Genomic DNA, 17,283 nt, shown 5'->3' with positions numbered 1-17,283 from the left:
AAGGCATGAGCAAAAGCAAACAGAGGAGTCAAGCTCTCAAAATGATTCTGCTATCTGTCACACAGGCAGAAAAGCCAGAGACTTGAGAAACATGCTTCTGACAAACCCTCCAGCCCTTCATGCTGTTGGCAATGAATATTGAGCATGCTTTGCAAAGGCCACATTCCCTTCTAAAAGCAAAACTTCTACCTCCCGGAACTGCCTAGGAAAATTCATATGATTTGCAGTTTAAATATACGAATATCAATAATTTAGATTTTAGGAGCAAAAAACCTGTAAGATTAGCATTCATATCCAACATTCAGGAAAAGAGAGACACCTCAACTTGGAACCTGAGTGTCCAGCCATGTCGGGAGAGCTCCTGTGTACACAAAGAGTGTACTGGGAAGAATGAAGAGTTGGCAGCAACAATAATGTTCACTGAGCAGAATGGGCTCCTGCTGACCCACAGAGGGAAACTGTTTTCAGATAGTAAGAATAGGCTTTTGGGAACCATCCCCCTCTGGGCCCTCTTGCGTTCCTGAGCAAGGAAGATGGCGGCTGGGGTTTGGGTTAGAACTCAGATTAGAATCAGTGGCCATGGAATAAGGAGACAAAAAAAAGGCTTACAGGGGTGGGGGTGCCTGATTAGGTCTGGCAAAAGGGACTTAGCATTGCGACTAATAGGCCCTGCAGACACTCAGAAGAGCCTTTCCGCCAAGCAGTCTGTTTGCATGTCAATCCCTTTGTCCCTCTACTGTACCATCTGGGGAAGGTGCTAATGAGACTAACTAGGCAAGGAGCAGGCAGCAGGATGGCACAAGGAGGGCAGCAAAACTCTGCAGAGAATATCCAAGAGATCATCATCTCATGAGCAATGAAAAGACCAAGACTGGCACATTTGGGGTCAGTCCATACCAACGGGCAGAGAACTCCAACATGAATGGCAGGCCATACCACCTCTCCCACCTCGACAACTGGGCTCTCGTGGCTCTCTGAAAAGCCTGAGAACTTCACAGCTTTTTCTGCATTCACATTCTCAACATGATGTGGGATCATGGGCCACCGCCTGCTGTGGCCTGCTGCTCTGCTATTCATTATAAAATCATCACCCCACAGTCCTCCCATGGCCGGCACCTCTTCTGCTATTTAATCTGTAGACAAAAGTACAAATTCTTCATCCTGTTTAGAATATGCTGAAGTGTGATTTAAAGAAATACATTCCTCTTGGGGTATCATGCTACAAAAATGCCAGAAATGCAAGCCTGAGGGGTTTAATTTTAACGGTAAATGATTAACCCTCCTTGGCTGTGGAAAGGCAGCCCAGTATATGCCAGGAGACCAGGCTGACATGGAGTTCAAGAAGGCAATTTCAAGTCGTGCCTTCCCTCCTTCGCAGTTTGCTAATGAAATGATTTTAAAAATACAAAAATAGCAGGAAAAATCTGCATTCATGAAGAAAAACAGTAAAAGGGGCCTTAAAATAGAGAGATATTGAAATATTTCTGCAAAAAACAGCACAGCACACCTGGGATGGTCTGGAAATGAGTATGAGCAGCTCATGTGTCTTAGTTCATTTTGTGTTGCTATAAAGGAACACCCGAGGCTGAGTAATTTGCAAAGAAAAGAAGTTTATTGGGTTCATGGTTCTGCAAGCTGTATAAGAAGCATGGTGCCAGCATCTGCTTCTGGTGAGGACTCCAGGAAGCATCATGGCAGAAGCAAAGAGGGAGCAGGAGTGTCACATGGCAAGAAAAGGAGCAAGACAGAGAGAGAAGGAGGGGTGCCATGCTCTTTTAAACAAACAGCTCTCAGGTGAACCAAAAGAGTGAGAACTTACTCATTTCCACAGGGAGGGCACCAGGCCATTAGTGAGGGATCTGCCCTCATGATCCGAATATCTCCCACCAGGCCCCATCTCCAACATTAGGGATCAAATTTCAACATGAGATTTGGAGGGGACAACCATTCCAACTATATCATCATGGTTCAACCAATATGAGGAAACAAACTGCCTGGGAAGAAAGTGAAAGAGTTCCCTACTAGAAGTTTCCAAACTCCAAGCAGGAGAGAGAGAACAGGAAATCAGGAAGCAGAAGACAAGTGACCTAGGGTATAATCACAGTGAGGCCAGAGGCAGAGCCCCCTCATATCACCCTGACTTAAAGCAAACAACCTGCCACATAAAGAGGAAGAAAAGCTGCCACAGCCTGCTTCTGAGAGGCAGCATTTCATGTAAAGGAGTGGGCATGGCCCTACTAACTTCAGGTAATGGTGACCAAGGTACAGGGCTGCCTCGGCTGCAGCTCCCAGATAGCTGTACACAATTCAGGAAAAATCAGAACAAATCCCCCACCCCCACCCCCCGCCACTTGCTGTGGTTTGAATGTGTCCTCCAAAGCTCATGTATTGGAAACTTAATCCCCAATGCAAGAGTGTTGTGAGGTAAGACCTTTAAGAGGTGATCAAGTCATAAGGCCTCAGGAGGGCAGAGCCCTCATGAATAGTTTAATGTCATGATTGTAGGGATGGGTTTGTTATAAAAGCAAGCTTGGCCCTTCTTGCTTTCCGCTCTCTGTCTCGTTCTCTCTTGCTTTTGCTCTCTCAGTCTTTTGCCTTCCACCATGGGATGACACAGCACGAGGGCCCCTGCCAGATGTCAGAACCATGGTCTTGGACTTCCCAGTTTCCAGAACTGTAAGCCAAATAAGTTTCTGTTCATTATAAATTAATCAGTCTGTGGTATTCTGTTATAGCAGCAGTAAACAGATTAAGACACCAAGAAACAGAAAGAACACAATATGTTGAAACATTAAGTCTCAGCAATATTTGAGAAAATCTTTCATAATAAAAAGAAAATAACCTCGGACCAAGAAAGATTGCTTTTAGATGAAAAACATGATTTCAGAAATGAATACCCAAATGGAGGCAATAAATAGTGATACTGCTAAAAACTGAATCAATGAATTAAAAGAAACCTTTGGAAATTCTCCGAGGTCACACACACACACATACACACTCACAAACACACACACAAAACAAAAGGGAAAGGAGGTAAATATAATATGCAAAAGGCTAAGATTCCTAGATAAGAGAGTCAGGCAATCCATCACAGGAATTTGAGAACTGAGCTGACAGAGGAGACAGAGAAGAGGCATTCAAAGAAATTATCATAAGGACCTCTGCTTCCAACCAAGTAACAGGAGCCAGACTGACCTTCCCTTCTGAAACCATCAAGCACCCAGTAAAATCTATAGAATAGTTCTTACACATTGGACATCAGGTAGTGAAGGACCCCGAGAGACTGGAAAAGAGGAACAAAGTTGGAGGACTAACATTATCTGATTTGAAGATGATAAAGCTGTAGTAATCAAGACACTGAGCCAGGCATGGTGGCTCATGCCCATAATCCCAGCATTTTGGGAGGCTGAGGCAGGAGGATGGCTTGAGCCTAGGAGTTTGAAATCAGCCTGGGCAACACCAGACCTTTTCTCTACAAAGAATAAAAAAATTAGCCAGACGTGGTGGCGCATGGCTGTAGTCCCAATTACTCAGGAGGCTAAGGTGGGAAGATCACTTCAGCCTGGAAGGGCAAGGCCGCTGTGAGCTGTGATGGTGCCACTGCACTCCAGCCTGGGCAACCAAAGAAGACCCTGTCTAGAAAAAAAAAGAAAGAAAGAAAGAAAGAAGGACACTCTGCATAAACAGAATAGCACAGAGTCCAGAAATAGACGTACACCTGTGTAGATATAATTGGTGTGCAAAGGCAATTCAGTAGAGAAAGAATTGTCTTTTCAGTGAAGGTACTGTGATTCAGCCAAGAGATTAAAAAGCAAAACAAAGCAAAAAATCACCAAAAAACCAAAGGTGCTGGAACAACTGAATATGCCTATACTTAAAAAAAAAAAAAAAAAAAAAAAAAGGCCTGTCCTGAGAAGTAAATGAGATGTATTTGTGAAGTCACTTTACACAGTATGTAAATATTAATTTCTTCTCTTCTTGGATCCTCCCAACCTCACTCCCCAAAATATCCATTTCCCTTCCAGCAACCAGAACAGTCTTTCTATATAAAAATGCAAATTGGATCATGTTAACATGCTTTCAGGGACTGCTTCTTGCACTAACAGTAAATTCCAAGTGCATAATGGTTCTCTGTGGCTGTCCCTGGCCTGACGTTTCCCCCTCATCTCACTGCAAGGGATATGGCTTGGCTGTGTCCCCACTCAAATCTCATCTTGAATTCCCACATGTCGTTGAAGGGATCCGGTGGGAGGTAATTGAATCATGGGAGCAGGTCTTTCACGTGCTGTTCTCGTGATAGTGAATAAGTCTCACAAGATCTGATGGTAATAAAAAGGGGTTCCCCACACAAGCACTTCCCTTTTTGCCTGCCACCATCCATGTAAGTCGTGACTTGTTCCTCCTTGCCTTCTGCCATGATTGTGAGGCCTCCCCAGCCATGTGGAACTGTAAGGCCATGAAACCTCTTTTTCTTCCCAGTCTCAGGTATGTCTTTATCAGCAGCGTGAAAACTAACTAATACAATGGCCTTCCTCACTTCCCCAGAGCCACCAATACCTTCCCTGCCCCAGAGCCTTTTCACATGCTATGCTATTCCCATGGCTGGGAAAGTTCTTGACCTCACTCCCCCTACCACCTCACAAATTGCTAATTCCCATTCATGTCCTTCCATTTTCAGCTTTATAGTCATTTCCTCAGAGGCCTTTCCCTGCTCCACTCTCCCCACCACCTCTAACGTGTAAATTAGGGTCCCCTGCCCCTGTCCCATAGCCTCCTGTTCTTTTTCTTTAGAACATGCCACCAATTTGACTCTATATTCATTATATAACTGCCTGTTTGTCCATTTCCTGGGGTAAAGCTCCATGATGCATGGTGACCACAGTTTCATGCATTGCTGCATCTTCCGTTTCTAGTGCAGTGACTTGTGCTGATAACTATCTGTTGACTTAAACTAAGATATGCAATTTGCCTCCCATAAAGAGGTTTCCCCTTCATCTGTGAAGACCTGGTGGCCAAGCCCTAGTTGCTGGCCTCAGTCTTGGGCCAGGCTGTGGGCAGCCCCGAGGGGAGACGGGACTGTGGGGCGGGGTCTGCATCCACATGGAGGGGCTCTTTGCATTGTCAGGTTATTTTGGGTAAACCTCAGCTGCTCTGGTGGCCAGCCTGCAGCCAGCTCCACCAACAGGCTTTCTTCCGTGGGCTTCAGTAGACACTGCGGATGTCCCGCCCAGATACCCTGGATCTCACGCACCAATTTGACTGCTGGGTCCTCTCCTAGCTGCTGCAGGTTCTTCAGCTGATGGCTCACACCTGCATCTTCTCCAGAGCCTTCTCCTTGAAGCCGCCTGGACTGAAGTTATCTAGGAGTTACACCCACCCCTCAAGGCCTGCGACCAGTGACTTATTTGCCTCAAAGAGGGACTGCAAAACCCCACACCCTTGCCTCAAAGAGGGACTGACTCTGTGCAACTTACTCTCCCAGGCTTTGTCCCTGCAGATCAGGTTGAAGCTAGACTCCCCAGAATCACATCTTTGCCTGGCTTCTCTTCTGACCTGTCCTGACCTATCCAGCTTCTCTCTCTCACCACTTTCTCCTGGGAGTGCTTACAAAAGTGTGTGCACGAATCCCTGACTAGGTAGGGACTGAGAATACCTCCCAAGACAAAGCTGCCTACGGTTGGGGGAAAAAAAAAGATGACAAGCATTTACTGAGTACCCAGACCACGCCAGGCACTGTCTTGGGCACCATCCTCACACCAACACTGATGAGGAACTGGAGGCTCAGGGAGGATCCCTGTACCCTGTCCAAGATCACCCAACTGGTCAGCGGGGAAACGAAGACTCAAACCCAGGCAGAAAGTCCATGCTCTTAACCCCCCACCATGGCTGTCGGTGAGTCCACCCATCTGCCAATTCCCAGCCCTAGCAAGCAATGTGGGCTGTGCTAAGACGATGGCAAGGGTTACTGGGGATAACTTCAAACTGAGTACAAGTGCACTGTTCCAGTGTAGAAAGGGCTATCTTCTGAGGTGGCCAGCTCTGCCACTGCAGGTGTTCAAAAAGAAGCCAGTGGCCACTTCACAGGCCTATTATGGAGAGAGCTGTAGAACTGAGAGAAGAGTCAGCCTGTGTGACCCTCATGATGCCGAGCTCTTGTGAGTTCAGGTCCTTAGAACGTGTGCGCTCAGCTCAAGGTTAAAGAGTGGCATTGTAAATAGCTCATTGCAGAGTAATTTATGTCATCACCCAAAAGGAGAAAACTGAAAGCCATCTATCAGATCACTGCCTGAGCAAATGACTGTCCAGGGAGGCTTTGCGTTGGAGTAGAAGAAAAGAATCTACAAAAATAAAGGGAAAACTGGATGCAGATGTTTTCCTCAATTAGCTTCTACTAAAAAAGCAATAAACAGGAAAGATCAGTGCTATACGTGCACTTTTATTTAGCCATGTGGCATGAGTCATGACATTTCAGAGGGAAATGTGTCTGTCTTTGGTGAAGCTAAAGGAAACTATTTTATTTTCTTTATCACACTGGAGTTTTTGCAACAAAGCTATTTTTAACCAAAGTATTACAAAATATGACTATCACGTGAGATGATTACTGAAATCTAAATCATACCAGCAAGAAGCAATGATTCAATTCGTCTTTTCAAACATCCCAAAGTAACTCAAAGTAATTATATCTGCCTAAAAAAATACTACTTCTAGGTTATTTCTGTTGTAGTTTCCTGTTATAGAAGGAAGAAAAAAGTATTTGTCGATTGGCTTCCTGAACATCAAAGTTAGGATAAAAGATACTTCATTAGGAAATCAAGACTCTTTCAAAGAGGACTTAGAATGCTAAGTGCTGCACATTTTTCAGTTGTGTTGATGACTACATTTTTAACATTTTGGTTTTCGGTGGTAGTAAATTAAGAAACTATCTTCCTGAAATTTATCTCCTAGATAAAGGACAAATTAGGTTGTATTATTTTATTTTATTTTATTTATGCGTGGGGTTTGTTGGCAGGGGTCGCATTGGGGAGCAGTAGTTGGTCCACACTGGAATCATCAGGGTAGCTTTTGAAAGACAGATGTCTGAACTTCACTATGGTACAGTCGAGTTCACAGAAATGGAGTGGAGTCCTGGCATCTGAATTTTTAAAAGAATCAACAGAATTCTGATGCACAATGAGATTGAGAACCACTGTTTTAAGAGCTGGGAATTTTAAAAACTTATGTACAAAGCTGTAATAAATGTTCTTCAGGCGTCACTTGGGTATGCCTTGTTTCAAGAAAAGCCATAATACGAAAATGAGAATGTAGGAACTTTAGGAGGTGACTTTTAGCATTACAAAGAAGCACACCAGTGTTACATGGTTAAATCTCTGCATGAATTTAAAGCAAGATTTAGCATTCTCAAGTCGATTCACATACATTTTTGGTGGGATAGAAAATATGTATGTTGAACCACTGAAGAGAACTTTCACCGCCTACTCCCTCTTTATCCAGGACAGAGATGCACTGTTATTGGGAGTTGGGAAAGGCCTGGATCCTGCAGACCACCTCTCCCTGCTTCTCAAACCCAACTTCCTGATTCCCAACAGCCCAGCTCAGGCAGAGGCTGGAGAGCTCCCTCTACTACAGAATCTTGTTTAGAGGGAAGCGGCTTGTTCTCTAATGCCAAAAGGGAGAACCTAGTTGGATGTGTACATAAAATGCACATAAGGTTCACAGTGAGGGCTGTTCTACTTGTATCCCTGGCAGCCTCCCTGATTCCCTGTAAGCCCTGTGCTGGGGAGGCTGTGTCCTCTCCGTTATTTCTCTTACAAAGAAATATTTACCATGCATGGAAAATCCAGTCATTCAGTGACATTACTGGGCAAGCCTCCTCTTCCGGTCTTGCAATGCCCAGGTTGGCTTCTGTTTTAGATCCCTTCCCTAAGAAGTTGTTGCCATGAACAAAGCATGGGAGGTCTGCATACCTAGAAGACAAGGTCCAGAAGACGAAGGAGACTGGTGAGGGGCAGGTGCCCTGGTCTGGTTTCAGGGTCCGATTATAAAGGAAGCTTCTGGAAATGTAGGCACAATGGTCAAGTACCAGCTATCTAAGTCCAACATCTGGAAACTGAGCCCGTACCTTGCAGGCTGTCAGAGCCAGGCCTGAGCGGGCCAGGTGTCAGTCACAGACTATGTCCTGAGCTGGGGGCCAAACTTCTCAACTCCTGGATGTGCATGGCTTGTTCCCCACTCAGACATTCTGGCCCATCTCCCTGCACCCTCTCCTGCATCAGTTCCTGGACTTGACCCCTCCACGCGCCCCATCTGAACCCACCCTCAGTGTGGCGACCTGCCACTGCTCTCAGCAAAAACAGCCCTGACCTCGGCTCTGGATTGTGCCCAGCTCTGCTGCTGTGCGCATGGACAACATGAAGGGGCAGGTCTGACCCAAGGCACGGGGAGGTGGGCAGGACTCAGGCATGAGAGGATGAATCAGGTCAGGACAAAGGCAGGCGAAGAGAGATGGAAGCCCGGGCTCAGGGCTGGGTGGTATGAGAAGCAGGGAGAAGTACAGCAAGGGGCAGCCTGGAGGAATTCAACTGCCTGCCTGGGTCTGCACGGCGACTGAATTCCAAGCCCTGCCATATCAGGGAGGTGTGGAGAGGAAGAGGGGGAAGTGCTGCTCTGTCCCACCTAGGGTAGCTTCAGCCTACTCCAGATGGATGAGTGGTGAGCATCAGTAGCCCCATCTGGAAGGAAATGAAGAGGAATAGAGCAGGAAAGTGAAGCAGAGGAATCGATACAGCAAGGCTCAACCTGTAACCACGTTCACATCTGAATGGGCTCCATGCCTACATGGTGGGGCAAATCAAATCCCACACCACCCACAGCCTAGAAGACCATTCCTAGGGCTGTACCTCTGCTGACTCACTGCATAGGTGATTAGCAATTATAAAAAATTAACACCAGTGAGTATTCCTATCCCCCAGCAGGGCACAATGAGCACATTCTGCATTGCACCCAAGTTGATCTACAAAAATAGGCTTGTGGGTCCAAAGGGATCCATCAGTGAATGCATAAACATCAAAGGAAGCAGTGGATTTTGTGGCTTGACTCAACACGACAAGTCAGGGATGCTGAGGAGGTGCCTCCTGTCCTCCCCGCAGTTAAACTTGCTTCTAGTAGAAGAGATCTGACAATGAGAAGAGGCACCAACGAGGCCACCAATGACCCTGGATATCAGCTTTTTTAAAACACTATTTGGGTAAAGGACTAGAGTGAGTGGATCAACTCCCCTTGTTGGTTTCACTGCCTACATATCTGGTGAAGTTAACCACTTCCCTCCATCTCCACTGTTACAATCTATACTGGGTTTTACAGTGTCTCCAACCACCCCCTGCCCAAAATTCATGTCCACTCAGAACTTGCATATGTGACCTTATTTGGAAAGAAAGTCTTTGTAGATAGAATCAAGTTAAAATGAGGTCATACCAGATTAAGGTGGGCCCTAATCCAACAGACTGGTATTCTTAGAAGAGGGAAATTTGGACCCAGAGACACAAAGGGAAAATGCCACCTTATGATGGAGACAGAGATTGGACCGATGTGTCTACAAGGAATGGCAAGGACTGTCAGCTACCACCAGAGCTAGGAGACAGCCATGGAACAGGTTCTTCCTCACAGCCTCCAGAAATAACTGACCTGGCTGCTGACACCTTGATTTTGGACTTCTGACCTCCAGAACGGCAAGATAACACATTCCCATTGTTTTAAGCTGCCCAGTTTGTAGTAATGTACTACGGCAGCCAGAGGAAACTATACTCCTCCCCAACCCAAGCCTGCATCAGCCCTCGCATAGATAACTCTAGCATCCTCCTAACCTTGAATACCCCAAACCTGTCTGGTTGTCCTATGACATGTTCTCCACTCTGTCACCAGAGTGAGCATCTCACATCTAACATGGTTCATGGGCCTCTACTGGTTAAAATCCTCAGTGGCCTGCAATTGGTCTTGGAGTCAGCATCCCCTCTCCCCACGCTTCACCATCTCCTCACCTGGCTGCCTTCTGCTTCCTTATTAGATCTCACCAGGCATCAGTCACTCACAGGGGCATTCTCCAACCTGCCCAGACATGTCCCATTCTGTATTGTTTGTTCTTGTTGCCCTCCTGGCCTTTTCCTCCACAACACCTACCACAGTGTGTTAGATGTGATTATCTCTTTGGTGTCTCTTTTCCCCACTGAACTGTAAACTCCACAAGAGCCAGGCCACATGGGTTTTATTCATCACTAGATCCCCAGCACTTAGTACAGTGTCTTGCACCAAGTTAGTTAGTACTCACTAAATACATGCTGGATGAATGGATGAATGAATAGAACAAAGAGAAAGAAAAAAGTAAGTGCCTCTTTTCTTCCCTCTCCTCTACCTGAGCCTGCAATGGGGATTCTCAAGCACATGTCACACTTTTGTAAAGGGGCAAAACTAACAAAGATCAGGGCCTACCCATCTTCCCTTGTCAACAGTACCAAAATCCTAAGACACATTTTAGAGAGCTAAGAAGACAAATAAAGCAGGGCAAGATGGAAAGTTTGGGAAACCACTGATCTATAGTAGTGTTTAAATGGAATTTGCAGTTATTAAAACAAATGAATGAACTCTCTACAATTCCCAAACACTATCATTAATACTATCCCATATGTCATTGAATGCCTGCTTCAAAGCAGTTTTGTAGGAGATGCGTTATTGTTTGCATTTACAAGCGAGAAAACTGAGGCTCAGGGAGGTTAAGTCATTCACCCAAGGTAAAGGCCATGGACTGTAACTGTCACCAGGTTCATCTGACTCCAAGTACAGGGATTCTTCCACTCCCCCGCTGCCTCCCTACACCCCTATGCACCGCCCCCCATCCCCACCACCACTCCTCAGCACACACGGCTGGTGGAGCTCACTGTGTGCAGGGAGGCCAGCCTTCCAGCCAGAGTCAGCAACGTGTGCAAAAGCACCACTCTGACTCCTTTATCTGCTGTGACACAAGAGTGATAATGAACCCAACAGCCTGGGCTGGAAATCTGTCCAGATTCATGGAATATCTTTCAACATAAAATATGAGAAAAAAACACAAACAGTTCAGCAGCATCAGCCATGCTATGCATGTAGCGAAGCAAAACAGGCAGGTTGTATAAATATTTAACAACGAGAAAGAACTGAACTGGCTCCAAAGAAACATCTGGGATAACAGATCTAAGGAGGCTGAGGTTTCTAGTGGGAAAGTCACTGTGAAGATACAAAAAACAACCAGCCAGCAATTCTCAGATTTCATTCTCACGTGCATTTATCAAGCACCTCTGGCAACTTACCCCCAAATGCTTTGTTTTTAAGTGTTTACTTACACAACTGGGCAATTTTCAAGGGGCCTAAGTCAAATAAACATGCTTTTCTTGCCATAAAAATGCTTTATTTCTATTTTGAACAACAGAAACTCAATAACAGTGTTAATAGTTGAGTCGAGATCAAATCAAGTTGTTTTTTTTTTTTTGCCACATTTATATATGTTACCTAATATAGCAAGAAATGGACTGCTGAATGTGTTCAGGATTAAGATTCTGGCATTAGTCCAAAGACTAAGTTTGGGCATTCCAAAGAAAATAAGCTATATATTTGAAAGTACAGTTTTTATGAAGTTACCTTCATGACTGACACTTGGAAATGGACCATCTTTTTCCAGAACTGATACCCCAGGGGTGGACTGCATAATTCACAGGACCCCTGTGGGATCAATTATCTGCCTGACATTCTTCCACTGAAGGACTCAACCACATGGCTGAACTCAACAGTCTGTCCTTGCCCTCTTTTGCAAAGTGTCAGGAAGAAGGCCCAGCTGCCTTGGGTAGGCTGAGGCTGCATGTTGACAACTGGCAGCTATTTTCCCAGGCACACACGTTCCAGGAGGTGCACGCTGACTCTTGCAGCATCATGTATAACTGGCTTTCTTCCTGCTCTAGTCTGGGTCCTTCCAGGGTGACAGGATGAGCATGCTACCAGCTCCTCGCTCTCCTGTTCCACAGTGGAGGATGCCGCCTGCTGAACCTGCAAACTTGGTGCGGACCCTGGTGGAGAGCAGAGGATGTATGGGCTTGTGCGGTGAGGTTCCTAAGGCTGCTACACAGGCTGCTCTGCTGCCATACACATTTCCCCTGCCTAGTCAGCCTCTGCCCTAGATAGCAAGCATAGAGGGGACAGCAAACCCCCAGAGCTACACTTCTAGCTGCTCCCCACCAAGGCCTGGTCGCCTGAGAGCTGTACAAACACAAGTAGGGCAGTTGAGTCACTCAGGCAGATCCCATCACTTCATGCCAGTCCCAGATGCCAAAGGATGCCCTCGACCCAGGTTGCTGCAAGCAGCCCCCAGCACAATCACTATTTGCTAAATTCTTTAGTTCAGCAGTTCTCAAACTAAAATGTGCATCGAAGTATATAAGTTCCTCGGGAATCCTATTAAAATGTACATCCTGATTCAGTAGGCCTGGGATGGGAGCTGCAATTCTGCATCTCTAAGAAGCTCCCTGCACTTCATGGATGCAAGTGCAGTGTACCCATGAAACACACTTAACAGATTTTACCAGGGTTTACCTTCCAAGTAAACTCAAATAAACATGTGCATGGAGTTCTATAATAAGACATTTCACAAAGTCATAGATTCCCCAACTTTCTGAGGAGTAAAGCTAAACTCAGAGATCAAAGAGCTTGGCAAAGCCAAGAATAACAGTGGACTCAATCCAGATAACTTGATATGAAGTCCCAGGATGGTTTCACCAAGTCAGTTGTTCTCAAACTTTAACATGCATCACGATGACTTGAAAGGTAGGTGAAAATACAGATCTCTGGGCCTCCAGAGCTTCTGATTCAGTGGGGAAGAATCTGCATTTCTAACAAGTTCACAAGTGATGCTCATGCATCTGGCCTAAGGACTACACTTTGAGAAGTGCTCCACTAGACTACACAGGATCCTAGAGACCCCTGCATCCGAGCCTCAGTCTCAGAGCTTTGATGCCATTCACCACTCATATGCCCAAACCCCACTAAACGCTGTTCTGGCTCCTGGTGCCCCAGGGATATTGGGTCACGCCAAGGCTTTTTTGTCTCTAGATGCCCCAAAGGCAATAAGCTTCTTTGGCATTGACTACGAGCTCTACTTTGTAGCAGCTGTTTGGCCTCAGGTGTGTGGCCCTGAGAACTTCTCAGTAACTTCAAGCCTCATGCTCCTGACCTGTGAAATGGGGCCGATAATCCCCATGCATAGGACCTTGATGAGCCCCAGACAACAAATGGTTCTCAACCCTTCCTGTGCATCAAAATCACCTGGGAAGGTTTAACAAAACGCCAGTGCCCAGCTCCCTTCCCCAATCCTGGGCAAGTGTATTTATCAAATCTACCCAGGTGATTGATGCTAATGTGCAGCTAGGGTTGATATCCACTGAAATAGGTAAACGTGCTAGAAACATGCAAGATGGCCCACTGCGGTGGCTCATGCCTATAATCCTGGCACTTTGGGAGGCTGAGATGGGAGGACTGTTTAAGTCCAGGAGTGTGAGACCAGCCTAGGCAAGATGGCAAGACCTCATCTCTACAAAAAAATTAAAAAATTAGCTGAGTGCAGTGACACCCACCTGTAGTCTCACCTACTTGGGAAGCTGAGGTGGGAGAAATGCTTGGGACCCTCCTAGGCTCAAGAGAGGCTGCAGCAAGCTATGACTGTGCTACTGCACTCGAGCCTGGGTGACAGAGCAAGACCTTGTCTCTACAAAAAAAATTTAAAAATGAGCCAGGCATGATGGTGTACACCTGTAGTCCCAGCTACATGGGAGGATGAGGCTGAAGGACTGCTTGAGGCCAGAAGTTTGAGAACAACCTAGGCAATGTAGTGAGACCCTATATCTAAAAAAGTAAAAGAATTCATTACAGCTATTAATATTTCACTGTTATGGTATTTATTTATTTGTTTATTTGAGACAGGGTCTCGCTCTGTCACCCAGGCTCGAGTGTAGAGGCACAATCATGGCTCACTGCAACCTGGACCTCTTGGGCTCAAGCGATCCTCCCACTTCAGCCTCCTGAGTAGCTGCAGCTACAGGTGCATGACTCCACACCCAGCTAATTTTTTTAAATTTTTTTGTAGAAGTAAGGTCTTGCTATGATACTCCGGCTGGTCTCAAAATCCTGGACACAAGCAGTCCTCCTGCCTTAGCCTCCCAAAGTGCTGGGAGTACAGGTGTGAGCCACCCACCCAGCTGTGATGGTTTAATGAGAAGAATAAATGCAACATGCACCGAGTGTCCCACAGACGTCCTCTCTCCCAGGCAGGGAGACTCTTCAGTGAATGCACCATCTTTAAACTCTCATGGAAATGCAGCCTGATGAAAGGTATATGAGCAGAGCTGCAGAGCTGGCTGAAAATGGCTCCCCGGTGAGCTGTTCTCGTGAGCTGCTATCTGTGCCCAGACCACAGCCTAGCCAAATCCTGTGATCCAAGGCTGAAAATATCTCTGGATTTCCATGAAGCTCTCAGGGAGATAGGAAAGCTTAATCACAGCTGATTGGGACATGTGAATCATGCACAGGAACTTTCCAGCCAGATCCCTTGGGGACCAACCTGGCTCAGGCTCTCTACAAATTATCACAAAGAATCCCGGCTGGAATAGTTGGCAAATGGGGGTCCATTCATTCAACAACAGCTGGGGATTCCTGCATATAGGAGATAGGGGAAGGAGAGGCTGATCGCAAGGTAAGCTGCATCCCACATAACCTTTCTACAGCCATGCAAGGCAGGTATTTGTTGAATGGATGAATAAATGAATAAACTAAGTAGTGGTCAGAGAAAGAAAGAAAGAGGGAAGGAGGAAGGAGGGGAGAGAGAGAGAAGAAAGGAAGCAAAGAAGGCAGGCAGGCAGGCAGGCAGGAAGGATGGGGAGAGGAAGGGAGGGAGGGAGGAATTTGGCCTTTGCTTGCACCCTCTTCTGCTGTTGGACAGCTCTATTTTGAAGCTATTTTCTACACTGAACCAAAATGCTGACCCAATTCTCTGAATGCAGGAAGAGTCCAGCAGAAACAGAGCCATGGAAGTATGATGCAGGGGAAACAGGCCAAATCGACCTTGTCTTGAAGAGTCCGTGGGTTATGCTTGTGCACATCCACTTTCCAGCCAGGACAGCCAGGCGGTCCCCACCCAGGGCAGTGCTTGAGGTCACCCACAAGGCGCCTCCAGTTCTGCTCACCAGGATCAAGGTTCTCCAGAGTTCAACAGCCACAGGAGGGAACCTGGGAAAGGCCACCGGAAGGCACAAAGAATCTGCTCACTCCATGCTCCCTTGGGCGGCCCCTGCTGAGCTGCTTCTGCTGCTCCCTGCTTGCTCTCTGAACCCCACCTCTTGGGCATATCCAGTTACAGTCACAGGCTCTGCTATCACCTGGAATGCCCTGGGCCTCTCCTCAGCTCCTCTCCTTCCCTGCAGAGAGCTGGGGCTTAGGCCACTCAGATATCCAGGATCATTAATTCTGTGGCCCCTCCCTGACACCACTCCCATCTGATCCTGGCACCTCCATGCTCCATCTTCTTCTCAGAATCCTGTAACCCAAACATCCCAGCATTCCTGGTGAGAGGAAAAGGCACTTTCATTCTGCAGAACACTCGTCCTTCCCCATAAGGAGCTCCTCCAATACCACCGAGGCCAGCTCTCCTGAGCCAGCCAGTGCCTGCCTGCCCACTTGTCTCTTCTTTCTTTTAGTGACAGACAGCACCTGATTTCCTCCAAGAGGGAATCTTCTCTTTCTGAATCCAAGTGCCTTGGGTGGTGAGGTAGGTGGACCTCACATCTTAGCTCAGAGTCTCCCTGGCCATCAGGATCAGCCAACAGCAGGGCAGGTAGACCAAAATGAGCCAAGAGAGCCGGGCCCAGGATGTTTGCGGCAACCACTGGAGGAAGGCACCCTGTTTCTGCTGAGCCTTCAGAATAGGTCCTCTTGGGTTTTTCACCAGTCCCCCTCCTCCAATCTGCCTCCATTTCATACATTGGTGGATGAGGCCTTGAACAAAAGAGTAGAATCAGAGCTGGAAGGAGCCTTAGAAACTTCCTGGGTCAAGATGAGGGGAATGAGGGTTAGAGAAGAAAGGAACTTGCCAAGATCACAAAGTGAAAACCAGAACAAAAGCAGGGAGCTCCCAACTCCCTTTCCAGCACTTTTCCACTAGCAGTGTCATTGTTGTATGGTAAGGCTTCACCCATTCTCTCTCCATGTGGATAAATTCCAGTTTTATTCGCAGACAAGTCAGATCATGACAAGTCACATCACTCCATGATGTTTCTAAGGAGACTGTATATAACCTTTCACCCACTCTTTGTCACCACCTCTCCAGCTAGGAAAAAATTTAATTCAACAAAGAACTCCACCATCACCCTCACCCCAGATGCTGAAACTCTTTGACAGCATATTGATTTTCTGGGGTCCCTGAGCCAACATGGGAGTCTGCAGGCCCCAGTGAAGTCAGGTTTCTTGTCCCCTCCCCTGTGCACATGCAAACCTCCACACATTCAGTACAGGTGACCCTGCAGGTCCAACGAATGAGACATTGAATCACCACTGAGAGAGGCTCAGAGGAGGGAAACTCCACTGGGAAAGGAGGTCAGGCTGCCCTAGTTAAGCCACCTCCACTCCAGCAGGCCTTGCCTGGCTCCCTGCCTCGCCTCAACACCCTTCCACCCTGACTCTCCCAAAGTGGACCATGTCACCTCTTTCCAGGCCTAAAACCACATGAGTCAAGGGACAGGAGGGTTTGAGAGACTCTAGTCCAATAATTGAAGGCATTAAACCACACCTGAGGCCTTTTAATACAATTTTAAAATTATGCTTGGGCTGGTTACATATGAAACCCACTCCAGTCCTGTCCTGAGCACCAGGAAAACCCTAAGGCCTGTCTGAGTAGCAGCCCAGTTTCAGAGAGCTCTTCCAAGCTCTCCCCCACGGAATCAATAAGAGCTTGTTGCATGTTCTAGGAAAGTCGCATCACACCCTATGACTGCAAAAGAGACCCTGTCCTCTCTTCCACCCTAAGAATAAGAACCCACTTCTCCAGCCTCATCTTGTTCCTGACAAGACGGGCTTGGCCCATAGGCAAACTCAGAGACCTGGCTCTTCACCTTTCACAGGGCCTTCTCTGGCATCTTGGAGGACACCCTCCACTGTACTGGTTCTGGCTGCCTTGGCCACAGTCCAGTGTCCACTCCGAGGACATTTCTGTCCAAATGTGGT

General features: G+C 46.9%; 1 protein-coding gene and 1 long non-coding RNA gene across 2 annotated transcripts in view, besides 2 other annotated features; both read right to left on the bottom strand.

Moving 5' to 3' along the window:
* The window catches only part of ARNT2 (aryl hydrocarbon receptor nuclear translocator 2), a 193,552-nt gene that overhangs the window by 102,236 nt on the left and 74,033 nt on the right, over positions 1–17,283 (bottom strand). The gene's annotated exons all lie outside the window — the stretch shown is intronic.
* Positions 1,591–15,753, bottom strand: LOC124903537 (uncharacterized). The gene is made up of 2 exons (XR_007064731.1): positions 7,824–15,753; positions 1,591–7,132 (listed from the first exon to the last, which is right to left on the bottom strand). It is a non-coding gene; the product is annotated as an uncharacterized LOC124903537 (long non-coding RNA).
* Positions 13,975–14,893: an enhancer, noted in NCBI's record as "NANOG-H3K27ac-H3K4me1 hESC enhancer chr15:80773146-80774064 (GRCh37/hg19 assembly coordinates)". NCBI's record gives its function as "activates a minimal SCP1, AML or CMV promoter by ChIP-STARR-seq in naive H9 embryonic stem cells {active_cell/tissue: H9 hESC(naive)}" and the evidence as "EXISTENCE:reporter gene assay evidence [ECO:0000049][PMID:30033119]".
* Positions 14,894–15,813: an enhancer, noted in NCBI's record as "NANOG-H3K27ac-H3K4me1 hESC enhancer chr15:80772226-80773145 (GRCh37/hg19 assembly coordinates)". NCBI's record gives its function as "activates a minimal SCP1, AML or CMV promoter by ChIP-STARR-seq in naive H9 embryonic stem cells {active_cell/tissue: H9 hESC(naive)}" and the evidence as "EXISTENCE:reporter gene assay evidence [ECO:0000049][PMID:30033119]".

This window comes from Homo sapiens, chromosome 15, assembly GCF_000001405.40.
Source record: "Homo sapiens chromosome 15, GRCh38.p14 Primary Assembly".
Taxonomy (NCBI): Eukaryota; Metazoa; Chordata; class Mammalia; order Primates; family Hominidae; genus Homo; species Homo sapiens.
The sequence above is the reverse complement of the archived record's forward strand: the minus strand, read 5'-3'. Positions and strand labels throughout refer to the sequence as shown.